This window comes from Homo sapiens, chromosome 12, assembly GCF_000001405.40.
Source record: "Homo sapiens chromosome 12, GRCh38.p14 Primary Assembly".
Classification (NCBI taxonomy): domain Eukaryota; kingdom Metazoa; phylum Chordata; class Mammalia; order Primates; family Hominidae; genus Homo; species Homo sapiens.
In genome coordinates, this window is record NC_000012.12 from 41,283,725 (window position 1) to 41,301,641 (window position 17,917).

The window sequence follows — 17,917 nt, forward strand, 5'->3', positions numbered from 1 at the left end:
AATCCATCACATAAACACAATCAAGGACAAAAATCACGTGATTATTTCAATAGATGCAGAAAAGGCTTTCAATAAGATTCAACATGGCTTCATGCTAAAAACACTCAATAAACTAAGTACTGATGGAACATATCTCAAAATAATAAGAGCTATTTATGACAGACCCACAGCCAATATCATACTGAATGGGCAAAAACTGGAAGCATTCCCTTTGAAAACTGGCACAAGACAAGGATGCCCTCTCTCACCACTCCTATTTAACATGGTATTGGAAGTTCTGGCCAGGGTAATCAGGCAAGAGAAAGAAATAAAGGTCTTCAAATAGGAAGAGAGGAAATCAAATTATCTCTGTTTGCAGATGACATGATTGTATATTTAGGAAACCCCATTGTCTCAGCCCCAAAACTCCTTAAGCTGATAAGCAACTTCAGCAATGTCTCAGCATACAAAATAAATGTGCAAAGAAATTACTAGCATTCCTATACACCAATAACAGACAAACAAAGAGCCAAATCATGAGCAAACTCCCATTCACAATTGCTACAAAAAGAATAAAATACCTAGAAATACAACTTACAAGGGATGTGAAGGACCTCCTCAAGAACTACAAACCACTGCTTAAGGAAATAAAAGAGGACACAAGCAAATAGAAAAACATCCCATGCTGATGGATAGGAGGAATCAATATTGTGAAAATGGCCATACTGCCCAAAGTAATTTTGATGCAATGCTATTTCCAACAAGCTATTATTGACTTTCTTCACAGAATTAGAAAAAACTACTTTAAATTTCAAATGGAACCAAAAAAAGAGCCCATATATGCCAGACAATCCTAAGCAAAAGGAACAAAGCTGGAGGCATCACGCAACCTGACTTCAAACTACATTACAAGGCTACAGTAACCAAAACATCATCGTATTAGTACCAAAACAGATATATAGACCAATGACACAGAACAGAAGCCTCAGAAATAATGCCACACACCTAAAACCATCTGATCTTTGACAAACCTGACAAAAATAAGCATTAGGGAAAGGATTCCATGTTTAATAAATAGTGTTGGGAAAGCTGGCTAGCCATATGCAGAAAACTGAAACTGGACCCCTTGCTTACACCTTATACAAAAATTTACTCAAGATGGATTAAAGACTTAAACATAAGATCTAAAACCTTAAAAACCCTAGAAGAAAACCTAGGCAATACCATTCAGGACATAGCATGGGCAAGGACTTCATGACTAAAACACCAAAAGCAATGACAAAAAAAGCCAAAATAGACAAATGGGATGTAATTAAACTAAAGAGCTTCTGTACAGCAAAAGAAACTATCATCAGAGTGAACAGGCAACCTACAGAATGGGAGAAAATTTTGCAATCTATCCATCTGACAAAGGGCTAATATCCAGAATCTACAAAGAACTTAAACAAATTTACAAGAAAAAAAACAAAAAACCCCATCGAAAAACAGGCAAAGAATATGAACAGACACTTCTCAAAAGAAGACATTTATGTGGCTAACAAACATATGAAAAGAAGCTCATCACTGGTCATTACAGAAATGCAAATCAAAACCACAATGAGATACCATCTCATTCCAGTTAGAATGGCAGTCATTAAAAAGTCAGGAAATAACAGAACCTGCAGAGGATGTGGAGAAATAGGAACACTTTTACACTGTTGACGAGAGTGTAAATTAGTTCAACCATTTTGGAAGACAGTGTGGTGATTCCTCAAGGATCTAGAGCCAGAAATACCATTTGACCCAGCAATCCCATTACTGGGTATATACCCAAAGGATTATAAATCATTCTACTATAAAGATACATGCACATGTATGTTTATTGCAGCACTGTTCACAATAGCAAAGAGTTGGAACCAACCAAATAACCATCAACGTTAGACTGGACAAAGAAAATATGGCACATGTACACCATGGAATACTATGCAGCCATAAAAAATGAGTTCATGTCCTTTGCAGGGACATGGATGAAGCTGGAAACCATCATTCTCAGCAAACTAACACAAGAACAGAAAACCAAACACCGCATGTTCTCACTCATAAGTAGGAGTTGAACAATGAGAACATATGGGCACAAGGAGGGGAACATCACACAGTGGGGCCTGTCAGGGGGTGGTGGGCAAGGGGAGGGAGAGCATTAGGAGAAAAACTTAATGTAGATGACGGGTTGTTGGGTGCAGCAAACCACCATGGCACATGTATACCTACATAACAAACGTGCACTTTCTGCACATGTGTCCCAGAACTTAAAGTATAATTTAAAAAAGAGAAAAAAAATAAAATAAAATACCAAAGTGGTCAATAAGAAACAAAAATTTAACTCCTGATTGCTTGATGAATTGGGAATGTGATAAGAGGTAAGGCTGCCCTTCAGTATGGGCAGATCAAGAGTTGTCACACTAAGGAGACTATTCTGCCTAAAATTCTGTGTTACTATTTTGTATTTAAGTATGCTGGTATATTAAAAGTGTACATGTTTGAAAAAAAACAGCAACATAAAATCTGACTTTTAGGTTCTAAGATAGACACTAAAGAAGAAGGCTGATCGCTCAGAAAGTCCTATTTTCCTTTACAGATCATTTTCCTTCTTCTTCTTTTTTTTTTTTTTTTTTTTTTTGTTGTTGTTGTTTTTGTTGGGAGCCCACTGCAGACTTTAGCAGCCAAGGGAGAACTACCCCACTCTCCCAACCTCCTTAGAGACTCTATTTTTTAAAAAACATTCCCCAGCTAATCCCTGACCTGGTTTGCATGATCAACTGGGCACACATTCTAAGGTCTGTGAGGAAGTTTGTGTACAATGGCTGTTTCACAATCCCATTTCATTAAAAGCAGGCAAGCTCTGTTTAAATAACATTTCTGGTCCACTCACTATTCTTGGAGGCACAAGTGGCTGTCTCGATGTGTAAATGGATGTGTCAACACCAGGAAGAGTAAATGTTTGGGTGTTCACTACAAGTCTTTGCTTTGGACATTGCTGTTGTTTGCAGAAGACCCATAGGGCAGAGAGGCAGATTTCATAGCAGCAGCTTAGGATTTCACAGTGGCAAATGACTCTGATGATGTATTATGACACACACCCCATACATGCGAAGTTATGACTGTTTACATTTTAAAATATATGGGATATTTTTCTATGTTAATCATTTAATTTTTCACACCTTCTTTTCATGGTCTTTATGTTACCTAGGCTTGGAAGTGATGCCACTTGTTTTTATTTTTTTAATCAGTATCGTTTTCTTCCTTAGACATAAAAACACATCAAGGTAGCTTTTGTAGCCTTCTCATTCTAACTAATGTCCGCAGAGGACCCCAGCCAGCAACATCTTTTGATGTAGTGATGTGCAGAAATAGATCATTGTCTCCAAGCATTATTTAAATCATTCAAAAATCTTCTATATAAAACTGCAATTTAAACTCCAGAAAGTTCACTTGGAGTAACAGAAAGACTAAGTTAGAAACAGACAAACCTGAGTTCTAATCATGGTTCTGCTACAGCCATAGTCATGGTTCTGCTAGAGGCATAGCCTAGAGAAGACTTCATGAGCTCAGATTTCTAACTTGTAAAATGAACTAGCTAAATAGATGAACTCTAAGATCCTTTCTAGCTCAAAATTGTATCAAGTGAATTCTTGGTGTCTAAAAGAAACTTGCCCTTATTAAAAGTATCAATTCTACCCAAATTAGCTTTCATTCGTTACATTTAAACTATTCCTTTGTATATGGTGTTAAAATAGGAAATTACTAAATTTGTTTGCAAAGATCCAAATATCATTTCTCTATGCAGTTTGACTACTTTAATGTGAAAATAACTTGCAGAACTGCAAACTGCAGAGGAAGTCAGAGTTCATAGAAAATCTCTTGCCTTCTTTTAGGACCTTCTGCTCAGAGTGTGTTTTTAGAGTTAGGCACTTCACCATCTGAGGCAAGAAAAGAAAGAGAAAGCAACCTAATCAAATAGAAAACTCTGAAAAGAACTCTTCTTTCATAAATTAGACTTCCTGTTCTTTACTTGAGGATCTGCAGTTTGGACAGAAGCCTTACTGTTTAGTGTAAACTCCCCAACCCCCTTCAGTGAATTTGGGTAGAAAATTAAACATATTTTCCAGGACTGTCACCAAAGTTTCTCCCTTATGTAGCACTGACATTTCTTCAAATCTCCTCTAAATATTATGAGAGAAAGAAGTGGCCTTTTGTTTGGAATGCTAGTTGTGACTTAGGATTATCAGTGAAGCCCCTTTGTTTGGGCTTTATTGAAGCATGTTAACAGCTGTCAGCAATAATACTTGCTCCGCCTGCTGCAACGTGATGTATTGATGTGTATACAACAATATGTTACAAATTGAAATAAAATATGCATTTTTTCATAATTTATCAGCATTATGATGGCACAAAAAAGGCAGTCTTATGAGTAATACAGAGCTCTTCAGCGGGCATTATGTACTGTAGGTAATAAACGCAGCCTCTCCCCTGGACTGCTGGGAGAGTTGTAAAGCAGAATGCATTAGTTCAGCCCTGTGATAATAAATCATTTTAGTATGTCAGTAGGCCCTGGCTAACTTTTACTCCTGAGGTCTGAAAGAATAGTATGCCATACGGCTCTGGATGGTTTCTGAAGTGTTTAGACTGGCTCCGATTCTCCTGGGTAATGTTTTGAGTGAGTGATATGGTTAGATAACAAGTGGCAGTATTTCTCAGGTATCAATATTGTGATGCCTCCTGTTGTTTTATTGCCTGGAGTGGCTGATTTTGTCCTAATTGGAACTGTAGTTCTTCTTTGTATCTCTATTTGCAATATGGTGCAGTGTTTCTTTAAAAAATAGAAGTCGTTCTGTAATACTGTGAAACTGCTCGAAATGGCTTCACCCTGACTCTTAGTTATCTTTGCATGGATGAGAAATCAATAAATCCTCACTGTTGTTATTTTATCCTCTTAAAAATACGGATACCTTTCTAGGAACTGCTTTTCTTGGTACTACAATGGCCGTCGGTTCACCATGACCTCATTTATTTCAAATGGTAGCAACCCAGCCTCATTAGTAGCGAATTTAAATTGATTGTGTAGGATTTAAAGAATTATGTTTATATAAACTTTGTTAAACTATCCAAGCCTTCTGTATGTATTAATTTTTCCTAGGATAACAGCAGGCATAATGGTTTATACATATGTTGACAAGGCCCCATTTTAAATCACTCTTTTGGCTGAGAATACACACCTGAAATTTTAACACATTACAATTTTCTCCTATGGTAACAAAGATCTGAAAAAAAATTATCAGAAATACTAGATGGAAAACAACAGCTGCTCTGAAGGAGGTGAGATGGATATTTCATTTTGGCATTATTTTATTATGTTACAACTGTGTAAATGAATTCTGAACAAAACTTCAGCCCTTTCTTTTTGATGCATAAGATTGCTTCCCAACCCTCTGCTGTCTTGAACTAAGTATCCATATATTAAGTTCATGCTCATCCACGAACAGTTAAGAAAACAGTGATTTGATGCATCCACACAGTACTTTTTACTGCAATGTAATAGTATGACTTATAACTTAAGCTCATTTTAAACATTCAAACTAATTAGAGTCATAAAACTATAATAATAGTACATTTTAATCCACTGGTGTATTAACCAATATGGGTGGAGATGTGATTTTCATACAAAAGACTCTGAACTAGTCCAGAAAAATATATGGATTGAAACAGGTGGGAAATAACAGTTCAGGCTCACTGCTCCTTCATGTCCCTGAAATATAAATGCAGGGACTATTAGCAGCAGCACAACAGCTGAGCTGCATGAAGATGGTCAATTTCTAAGGAAACTAGAATTTATGTAATAGAGGGCCTTTTGGACCACATCAACTTGACTTCATTTTGAAGTAAATATGTAACCAGTGCAGCTTGCAAGGCACGGCATGCTTTCACGCATTTCAAATGGCTTGTGTGTGGCCTCTGTTCTGCCCCAGTGGGTCCTCTGAGCTGGCCCCACAGAAGAGATTGCTGCAGTCCAATATACAGATTAGGAAATCATGAAGCACTATGGTGACAGCAATTTCAAAGACAGATGCCTTCTGTTTATCTCCAGATTGGGGATAGTGAAGAAAATAGCGGTGCAAAGTTCTTTGCCATTAACTTACCTCTTCCATTTGCTTTGTGAGTGTACCCTAAAGAAGAAAGTGGAATTCTGACTGCATAGTGGATCTCCAGTAATTGTTATGAAAGCCTTGGAAATTTTGACAGCAAGTAGGGCATGCCATCAAATATATAAGCTTAAGGCTATCTACTGATTTGTGAGAAGCCACTGTGTACATAGGAAGTACTGGTGGTGGGCCTTTCCTTTAGGTTCATGTGTAGTTGGAGATTTATTTGATGCTTGAGATCCATTGTGCTTTGGAACAGAATCCTCTTAGCATCCCTACCATAAGCTCAGATGAAAGATGATTTAAAGTACTGTGGTTGGCTAACATGCATTGTTTCTACTTAGGGAAGACAGATTTTTAATAAAAAACTTTCAAAGCAAAATATCAAATATGTTTAATAGGGAATTTTATACCTCATTGAGTGAAGGCTTTTAAAAAATTCTTTGATTCAAAACATCTTTTGTTTGGAAAATAGAAATTCTGAAGCTGGTTGCTCTGTGGAATACACTTTAAAAGAAAAGTTAATAGGTCATTGATTTATCGCATTTTCCAGGAAATTCCTTTTTGCCATTTTATTTAGGAAAATGTAAAAGAAACAGAAAATTCCTTCACATATGTGAAAAAAAATCACCCTTCAGGAAAATTATACATCTTCATACATAGGTGTTCTAGAGCACACACATTCTGATATATATATACAAACACTTCAACTTGGAAGAAAGATCTAGAAAAATACAAAATCTAGTATTGATATTTCTTAATGAGCTTTCATAGAATAATAATTCTGAAATAGACCATGACTAAATCTATGAGGTATAATTTCATATATTTACCCTACTCTCAGAAAAATAGGTATTCAACAATCTTTTGGAGAAGGAATAACCGGTCATTTTTCATGGTCTAATGAGGTATTTATTACCTTTCCTGGGTCTGCCATGAATACCCCCTTTAGAAGTTTCAAATTTTTCATATTCATTTACAAAAATTTACAATTTTCTATGTCTAAGTAATTTGATTCATTTCCTTAAACATTCTTTGAATCCTATATTTATCTCTTTCTAAATTGAACAAAGCATACATTTAAATGAGAGAATGAAAGCCTCCTTTTTAAAGATGTAGGATCTATTTTGTTTGCTTCCAAAGTTGCTTTTTAAAAAAAAATGCTACAATTAATCTTGGGTAATGTAAATTCTAAGATGGAACTTATAAAACACTTTCAAGATGTCTGAATTATGTTATCCATTAGATTATATGTACTTTTTGCACAGATATAATAAAAAGATATAAAAATTTTATTTTACTTGGTTTCTAGGAACATTATGATCACTGAAAGTGTTGAATAATTTCTGAGATATTAGTGATCAGAAACACTATTATTTGTTCTAATAAAAAGTGTTTCTGAAGCATAAGATTTAAATGGAAGGGCCAAGAAAGTCATAACCTTACCTTAAATTTGCTTAGGTGAAGGCCTTCGTGAGCATGGTAGCATTTCTTGGATGTAGCCAGAATTCAGTTTTACCCCTAATTTCTTATTTAGTGGCTATATAAACTTCTATATATACTTAAACTCTCTGAATCTGTTTTATTATCGGCAAATTGGGAATAATGACTTTCAGAGTTTCTGGAAAATTTGAAAGTACTCAATAAATATTATTATTCTTTATTTACATGTCATAAAATCATTATTCATCCTAAGCCTCCCAAAGCCAAGAGTAGCCCTTAAACACAGTAGGTGCTCAATACACTATAGACAGGTAATGTTTATAGTTATTGAGTGAGGCCAGAACTATGTGAGTCTTGGTTTGTTCTCCTCATATGCTCAAGTTTTATGAACAGGGGTTGTGAAGAGAATAAGATTATGAAGGAAATAAGACAGCTTTGGAAACACCATGAGGAGGATCTATGGCAGGGTGGGCAAATCCTGCAGTTATTCTTCTCCATAGAGACCCCCTAATGTAGTCATTTCATTTCCAAGGAGGCACCCCATTACCTCAAACCTGGTACATGAGATGCAACCTTACTAGGAGTCTCAGCACAGGAACCCTGAGTACCAAACTGGGAGGAAGGCAGGACCAGGATAACTGGAAATATACTAGCATTGGGAAAACAGGCTAAAGGATCTGCATCCACCCAGGTTGTGTTTGGCAGTCTTCATCAGAGGTGAATCAATTAATCATCAGGCACACAAGCAACAAACAAAGCATGAGTAGCAGGCGTTAGAGAAAAAAGTGGGTCAGGCATAATAGTTCTTAGGCAAGAAAGAGATGTAATCCATATTTACAACTATGAAGTTATAAATTGCAGTGAACAGAAGGACTGAGGAAAATGGGAAGAACAACAGGTTTAAGCAAACAGCTAGAGAGAGTTGTTCATTCCCATCACAAGGCTCAAAAATCTTTATGAAAGGGGAGAATACCGTTCCAGATCTTGGCCTTCTAAGGATCATTATTTGTAGGAAGAGCTGGTTTCATGTTGCTGGAGAGCACATGTGTGCAGGAAGTGCAGACCAAGAGAAAAAATGGCAAAGGTGCAGAGGTCAGAGAAGGCAGTAAAAGGGCCCTGTAAGAAATGTTCACTTACAAATTTCATTGTGTTTTTGAAGTTACCATTTGAGGTTTTTTCTTGATTTGATCCTTACATTTCAGGACCCCCCTTTGACTGGGTTTGTGCTTCCTTTTGCCACTCGTTTGGGTAGAATTAGTGTCTGGAACCCCAGATAGCCCAGATATTTATTCACTTTTTAAGTACGCATGATATTATCTTGGCCATGCCTGGTAGCATGAGACTTCTTTTTAGTCTTTAAAATGACATTCTAAGTATGCTGAAGCATGCTGCTAATCTGTTGTCTTCATTCTCTAAGGAATTTGGAGAAGAACGTTCACTTTAGTAAGATTCAGCAAACTTGGAAACTATGTCCCAGAGAGTTGTGCATCACACCATTATGAGTAATGTTTTAGACTCTATATTGACAAAATTGGCTAAGGGTTTTAATAAACAACTCCAAATCCTCACTATTATGAAAAGACCAATGTGAATGTTTCTGGTCAGGCAGCTCTCTTAGGAGGCTCTTTTCTGAGATACGGCTAGGAATTCTGGGGTCCTTGCATGCTGTGGCTCCACTAACATCTTGGAGGCACGCGCACCTTGCTTCTGGCTGCTCACTCTGGGTAGGCTGGAAGTGAAAGGGAGATAGGAGGGACGCTGGAGAACAGGTCACTCAGGTTATTTTATGGTTATTTTATGGCCAGTTCTAAAAAAAGTATTTGTGTCTTATACCCACATTCCACCAGCCAGAAGTTAGTCATTGAAGCCCCACCTCAATGCAAGGTGGGGCTCTATGACTAACTTCTGGCTGGTGGAATGTGGGTAGAGGACACGTAATTAATTGTCCTAGGCAATGTAATTTCCCTGGTGCTGACGAGGAAAAAAATATGGACACACATGTAGCATCGTATCTGCCATAGCCTCTATAAAGCTTAGCTCTCTCCACTCAAGTGACTGAGCTAGCTCCTTCCCCACTCCATCCTTTTCTGGCTCTCCCCTACTACCTGCGCTCCTGCTCTGTCAAGAGTCATCACCTAAATAGCCATAAAGCCAGTGGCCCCAACTCTCTCTGCCAGTATTAAGAATGAATGTCAGAGCAAAGTGCCAGCAGTTTGGCAGATTTCCTTAGAATCTTTAACTGTTCTCCTCCTGTTTCGAAAAAGCAAACTCACCATTAATGCATATCCCTGGTATGTTGTACTCCAAGTAGAGGCAGAAATAACTCATCCTGGCAAAAGGAAATCACCCTGGAAATTACCAGAGGATGTGACATGGATTATTTAGTGTAATGGCTGAAGGTGTTTTCAGTAAAATGCAGTGTATGCTGTGTTCCCTGATCCCATTTGTCCTCTTAAAATTAATTTCTGTAGTGTTTCACAGTTACCTGTTTAATTATTCATTCTAGATGTCATGGAGAATGATACAGTACTGCAAAATAAAGCCAATAAAACAAGTTTCTAATGCTAAATATCAAAGCTGGAAAATATGACCATTACAAATAAGCAAGAATCTGTCTTCTCTTTTCATAAGTATTCTACAAAGACATGGCATTCAATAAACAATAGGGTTGCTTGGATTAATTTGAAGATGTTTGCATAAATAGGCTCAGAGTTTTATAGTTATGTTGTTGTGGGGTTTTTGTTTTTGTTTCTTTTTTTCCTCTATAGTTTGTTTGTTTGTATCACAAGAGTACGTGTTTCACAGGCAAAATATTCACCTTAAACTTTCATGCCATTGAAATGTCCCCTTCTCTTTGCAGTGTAGTGTTATGGGAGATGCATGAACTTTCAAAGTCAGGCAGACCTGGGTGCAAGTCCTGCCTTTAACACCCTCGTTGTGCAAGTCACTTGCCATCTCACAGGCTGTTTCTCACCTGTAAAATATACTTCCCAATATTATTATGTGTATGAAACTAAGTACTGTAGAACAAAATTTGAATTTAGCACACTGACTTGCCTCTTTCTTAAGAAGAGATTAATTTCTACTAATAATTTTATATGAACTATAAATGACAAGGTTGATTTCAATGGATAAAAATATAAGAAGAACAGTGTGAAAACTGCGAGGACTTTATGAAGACTCTTAAATGAGGGAAGGGAATTCATTCATTTTAAATATTTAACATTTAAAATTATTTTACTTAAAATAGTATAACAAAGAGAGTACTTTGAAACTAAGTTTCTTTATTAAAATAGAATAGATTACAACTCTATTACCTTAAATATTACCTCTTTATACCTGAGCTCAACGAATCACATTTCATCATGAAAATACTTAGAAATTAAGGCAGAGCTTTGCATACTATAAACAGGATTACAAAAACAATTTTCTAAAGTCCTATTGTAAATCTGGAAGATAAGGTTTAAGAGATCTAAGAGATCTTTTCAACAGAAAAACATAGAAGAACAACTCAGGAGGCTAAATATCCTTATCATAAATTCTAAAAGGAGAAAAATTAGAAAATGGGGGAAATTATCAAGTAAATGAACAAAGAAAATTTCATAGAGCTGAATAGAGACATGAATCTTCTTCAAAGAGCCCAAAGTTTTCTAGAAAGGGAAATGTGGTCATAGACATGTAAAAAAAAAAATCGCAGTAGCTCTGATTTCTCATCAGTACCACAGCAGAGACAATGGAGCAATCCTTTCAAATTTTGAGAGGTAATGTTTCAAACTGGAATTCCATACCCAGTCAAGATGTCTTTAAATGATAAGGTCAAAATAAAGACAATTTCAGAAATTCAAGAACTTCAGAAGTTTATCTTCTACTCACCCTTTGTGAAGAAGTCACCTGAAGGTGTACTCTGGCCAAACCATCATGAAAATTAAAAAAAGGATTTGAGATACAGGAAACACTGGAAACAATTCATTGAGGTCAATTACAAAGAGTTCCCATATTGTCATCAAATCAAAAATAGTCCCCAATTTCAGAAAATGTAAAACAAAGAAAATATAAATTGATTTAACTCAAAGATAAAATTACTAAGAAGCTAGAAATTGTTAATTTTGAAGGCATTTTTTTTTCTCTGCAGGACAAAAGAAAGGTAATTAGGAAAGTCAGAAAAAGAACAAATACACAGAAATGCACTATCCCTATATCACCCCCTCACCAAAATTAAACAGTCAAAAACTCCATAAGAAAATAATGGCCTAAATATGAGAGGGATCTTCAAAAAGTTCTTGGAAAATCTGTATTATGAAAAAATTATGGATGGATTTCAAAATTTTTGGCCACAAAATAAGCTCATATGAATGTGATATAACATGTCTGAACAGGATCTAGTTTGAGGTACTATGAAGGGTAAGACATCAGTTTCAAAAGAGACCCTATCAGAGCAGCACGAATTCTACTGAAATTGAAGCAAAAACAAACATCAAATGTACGGTAAAGCTTGGGTGGAAGAATGGTGAAATTATGGATGCTTTGCAAAAAGTTTATGGGGACAATGCCCCAAATAAATCAGCAGTTTACAAATGGATAACTTTTTTTCAAAACAGATGAGATAATGTTGAAGATGAAGCCTGCAGGCACAGACCATCCATTTCCTCAAAAATTAAATTTTTTGAGGAAAAATTTCATCTTGCTTGTGCCATAATTGAAAAGGATCTATGGTTAAAAGCAGAAACAATAGCCCATACCATAGACATCTCAACTAGGTCAGCTTATGCAACTCTGGCTAAAAAAAGTTGAGCAAATTTTCCACCTGATGAGTGTCAAAATTGTTGCACCCAGATCAGCTGCAGACAAGAGCAGAGCTTTCAACAGAAATTTTAAACAAGTGGGATCAAGATTCTAAAGGATTTCATTAAAGAACTGTAACAGGAAATGAAACATGGCTTTACCAATGCAATTCTGAAGACAAAGCACAATCAAAGCAATGGCTACCAAGAGGTGGCTGTGGTCCAGCCAAAGCAAAAGTAGACAGGTCAAGAACAAATTTCTTGGCAACATTTTTGGGGGCTGCTCAAGGCATTTGGCTTGTTGACTTTATGAAGGGTCAAAGAACAGTAACTTCTTCTTATTATAAAGGTACTTTGAGAAAGTTAGATGAAAGTTTAACAGAAAAATTCCCAAGAAAGCTTTCCTCTTTCCTAGAGAATCCTTCTCTACCATGACAATATTCCTGCTCATTGCTTTCATCAACAAAGGGCAATTTTTCAAGAGTTTTGATAGGAAATCATTAGGCATCCACCTCACAGTCATGATTTGGCTCCTCTTCCTTCTTTTTATTTTCTAATATTAAAAAATCTGTAAGGCTGGGCATGGTGGCTTACACCTGTAATCCCAGCAACTTGGGAGGCTGAGACAGGAGGATCACTTGAGCTCAGGAATTCGAAACCAGCCTGGGCAACATGGCAAGACCTTATCTCTACAAAAAATACAAAAATTAGCCAGTCATGTGGCGTGTGCCTGTAGTCCTAGCTACCAGGAGGCTGAGGTGGGAGGATCACTTGAGCCCAGGAGGTTGACACTGCAGTGAGCCATGATCATGCCACTGCACTCCAGCCTGGGCAAGAGAGCAAGACCCTGACTCAAAAAACAAAAACAAAAACAAAATCTGTAAAGGGCATCAATTTTTCTTCAGTTAATAGTGTAAAAAAGACTACACTGATGTGGTTGAATTCCCAGGATGTTCAGTTTCTTAGGGATGAACTAAACGGCTGGTAACATCACTTATAAATGTGTCCCGAACTTGATGGAGTTTATGTTGAGAAGTAAAATTTCTGTTTTTTAATTTTCATCTTTTAATTCCATTTTCCACAAACTTTTTGAAGTCCCCTTGTATAACAAACCAAAATATATCATACTTTTGAGCAGTTGATGGAATGTAAGGAAAAAAACATTTAATTATAATACTAGGATATTTTAATTTTAAATAGGACAGAGACAATAACATTGGACTAAAATAAATTTTTTAAAATCTGATAGAACAAATGAAATCTTTAACCCAGGGGATAATGTATTTCAAAGGCCCTAGTTCTGGCCCTGGTCCTGTCCCTGACCCCAGCTTCACTATGTGTCCACAGGAGTGCTTTCACTGGTGCTGTGACTTTTTACAAGCTCATGTATAAACTAAGGCCTGTTCTCTGAATCTTATTTTGAACTAGTTCTGACACCATTAAAATTGAGGGCAGACAGTAAACTAGTGCTGGCTGGCCTAAAAGGTGCTAGGACATTGAAAAATGGTTCGTTAAGATGTAGCCTGTTTACCAAGTGCCACTGGAGGGACATATAAAATATTCCTCTTCAGTGGAAAGGGGAGAATCTTTCCTTCCTCTTCCTTCTCCAGCCAACCCCAGTGGAAAACAGCTCTCTATAACTTGTGCCCTAAGCCCTTGTCCATGTGATTCTCAAGCACTCAGTCATTTAGTTGGGGTAAAAGAACACAAAAAATTAACCAAACTGACTATTAGGCTAAAAAAGAAAATGTGATATTTAATTATAGTCATCCTCTAAGAGACACAAGAATCCAGAATGGAGAGGAAGATCGATTAAAACAATTTCTAAGCAACCTAGAGAATCCCCTGTTTTAGACTTAGTGCTGTATTAACACAGTGACAGCTTTGAAATCTCCCAAAGTAAATTTGTAACTGTTTTTCCATTATCCCTTTCAGACTCCATTCCTAGTCTGTCCTACAGAATACAGAAACCAATTTATATTTTCTAGTCTAAACCTATGTTTTAATCTTTAATGATCATTTTTATATTATAGAAACAATGTCAGAAATTAAAATTCCCAATAATCTTACCCCAGGGAAAATACTATTAACAGTTCTTAATATATATGTTAATATATAGGTCAAATATATTTTAAGAATTGAACTTCGAAATTACTCCCAGTGATAATTTGTAGTGCTTGAAGATTATTTTTGCATATTCTCACATTTTGCTATTTGTATGTTATACATTCTTTCCCTGTTTTCCAGGCTGAGAATGTGCTATTCTGGTTGAATAATCCTGCATTAATAAATCTGAAGACTTAACGATACCAAAGCTGCGTTGCCAGTCAAATTTGCTTTTTGTTTTTAGATATCTGCATATACTTCATCCCCTGTGATACTAGTGTACAGATTTTTAGGTTTCATTTTATTTGTTTTATGAATTTTTAAAAATGATATGCTTTCTGTGGTAAATTTCTTTATAAATTACCTGATTTGGATTGGATGAGAAAAGCTGTCTAATGGAGCTAGGATATAAATTAGAATGAAGTTCAATGTATAAATTAAGGCCTATTTGCTGAAGCTTATTTTAAATTAGTTCTGATACCATTAACACTTCCAATACCATTAAATGAGCCAAACAGGTGAAATAGAACAGTACAGTATCTCCTAGAAAGAAATATAAATGTTCTAGATTATAATTAACATTTGAATTTCTATTATTTATTGATTAATAAGATTTGGGGAGAATATTCTTTTTCTTTGAGAAAGCAACATATACCCCTTCTACACTTTAAAGTGGTTTAGTGGTGATCAGTTCTCTAAGGATTCACTCTCTCATTGCTGTTAGAGCCCCAACAATCTGTTGTGTGATCACTGCATCCCCCTTTGGCCTTGTTTTCTAATTCCTATTATTCTGTGGCCCTTTTTTTCTGATGTCATCCACAGAGTGCTGTCTCAGACACTAATGCAAGAGTTGCTCCATGCATTCTTCAGTTAGAGCAATAAGCAGGCAGTGAGCCTAGGTTCTTGGAGGAATTCTTCATTTTACAACATTCTAGGGCAAATAATTATTAAAAATAAAGAGAGCTGGCCATTTTCTCGAGCTGCTTTAAGCCCTAAAAATAATCAGTCAAAAACTTTCTCTGAAATGTTCTTGTTTTTGGTTTCAGAGAGTAAAATGAGAGAGAGAGAGAGAGACAGAAATTAAAAGTTTCTGCAATTAAGCCTTGGTCTGGACACTCTTTCTCAATGAGTAGAGTTAGATTTTTCCTCTCTTTTGTAATCCAATTAAATCATCAAGATTTCTTGAATCTCAGAATGCTTCTGTTGGACGCACAATTTGTGTGTAGTTTATTTTAATTATTGGTTCTGAGTTCACATCCAAGTTGATGCTAGCTATTTTCTTGCCCAGAATTCATTTATTTTATAATCCCCTGTTTTTTTAGGCTTAGATGACACCCTTATAATATTTATAGTGACACTGTTCAGAGACAAAATTGCTATTCCCTTTTATCTGCTCGTTCTTCTAGAGTAAAACTTTCAGAGTAGTTGTTCAGGTAATAAAATTATTTTAATTTAATTTTATGGGAAACAACTGTAAATAATCCTACTATGTTTTTACTTTATAAAATTGAGTTAGTTTTCAAAGCATATTTCACTGTGTATTTGTGTTTCACAAGAACAGACTCAGCAATTTCAGTCACTAAAAGCCATTTAAGTATATTTATATATTAAGATATTACACAAGTTATTTTTTATCTTTGTACTGCAATAACAGTTGATAGATAATACTATTTTATGATGCTTTCATGAACAAAGTTTCTTTCAAAAATACATGCATGTCACCATCCCCTATTAAAAATAGACTTAGTGCATATATCTTTATTCAACTGTTTATCTATTTTGATCTCTGAGTGTCTTCTACCAGTATTATTCCAAGATAAATCTTACAATATTTATGAATGTATAGATGTATTTATTTGTGTCATATTTTATATAATGTATATTGTTATGTCATCTTTAGGTATATATTACTGATAAGTACATTCTAAAACGGAAAATACTATGTAACAATGATAGCAGTGTTACATTGCTTTTGCATAGCTCTTTTAGCTACTCTTTTAATATACATTTACTTTTGTCTTCCAAAAATCTTCTGAAATAAGTGTATTTATAATTATGCAACTTTGTTTTTGAAAACAAATGTACTATGTCAGTAAGTGATATGCCAAAGTCCCAACTCCTGATAAATTTAGTACTACAATTAACACAGTTTTCCTGAATCACAGTTCAATAATGTTTCAAATACAGATATTAAATAACAGAACTAAAATAACTCTTAATTATATTTTGAGATATATATGTATAACATTTTTATGTGAAACAGTTTAATAAACTGTCTGGCACACCCAGAAATGTGCCCAATTAAAATCAAACACATATTAGAAATATTTCATAATATGTAGGTTTTATTTTTTCCCTTGTGGTCATTATCTCTTCTTTGAGAAATGACCTCTAATAAAGATACTCATTCGGCCTCAGGATATGTGTACATTAAGGAAATAAAAACCTCAAGTGTTCTCCCTATTATATCCATAAGATATTTGTCAAATATCCCTAGGGCCTTTCACATACTGGTCAGCTGTACCCAGAGATCATTATGAAAACTTTCTGTAGTTTTACAATATAACTTTGTGATTTTTCAGAGCTATTATATCTTCTAAGACTTCCTTGTGTTTTATGGAAAGCTTCAGGGAAAATAAATATGTCTTTCTAGACCCAGAACTTGAAATGACAGTGGACTCAAGAGATCAAGGTTATCAAAACAGGAGTTCTGTGTTATGGCTTCTGTTTATCTGCAGGAAAGCAGCCAAGGTGAAAGGGGTTGTTGTTATTTTTAAAGTACTGGATTATCTATAAGGGGAATTTCTTATCATTATAGATTATTTTTGTTTCCAATTCTAAATGTTGACCTTATTTTTGATATCATCTCTGTCCTTTGACAGTTATTAGCTTATAGATGATTGCTGGGAAATATCCCCAAACTCATACACTCTTTAGGTTATTGTGAATATTTGGCTGTTTGCTTTCAAAGGGGGATGGGGGAAGAGGCAGAAACGATGAGAAAGGAAACACAGACAGACATCATGCCCATTTGAATATATTCTTTTCTTCCAGATACGCACTGTGAGGATTTCTAGTGTTTTACATTTAATACATTTAGCTTTTCTCAAATTTTCAATATTTGAAAATTCCCTTTGTTATTCTGCAGAACAGTGGAATAACTGTATTATTGCCATGATGAGGACTGTTGTTTCTATTTTAGGTATGTAGCAAATGAAATATGACTATGAACAGATTTCATGATCTTTACATAAGATATAAGGATATAAGGATAAGACATAAGGATATAATCCTTATAGAAGAATGAAGTCACATTATTGGGATTCTATGTCTTCCTGTACATAATTCAGAAGTTTTTAATATCTCACTAAATTCAAGAGCTTATTGCAGTTAATCATACTACATATTATAACCCCCCAAAAAAGATAATGC

The 17,917-nt window shown here is 35.4% G+C and overlaps 1 protein-coding gene across 1 annotated transcript in view, besides 1 other annotated feature; it reads left to right on the forward strand.

Annotated features, from left to right (window-relative positions):
• The window catches only part of PDZRN4 (PDZ domain containing ring finger 4), a 386,426-nt gene that overhangs the window by 95,405 nt on the left and 273,104 nt on the right, over positions 1-17,917 (forward strand). The gene's annotated exons all lie outside the window — the stretch shown is intronic.
• Positions 9,061-10,260: an enhancer, noted in NCBI's record as "MED14-independent group 3 enhancer chr12:41686587-41687786 (GRCh37/hg19 assembly coordinates)". NCBI's record gives its function as "activates an origin of replication core promoter dependent on BRD2, BRD4, P300/CBP and CDK7 cofactors, and independent of MED14, by STARR-seq in HCT116 cells {active_cell/tissue: HCT116}" and the evidence as "EXISTENCE:reporter gene assay evidence [ECO:0000049][PMID:35650434]".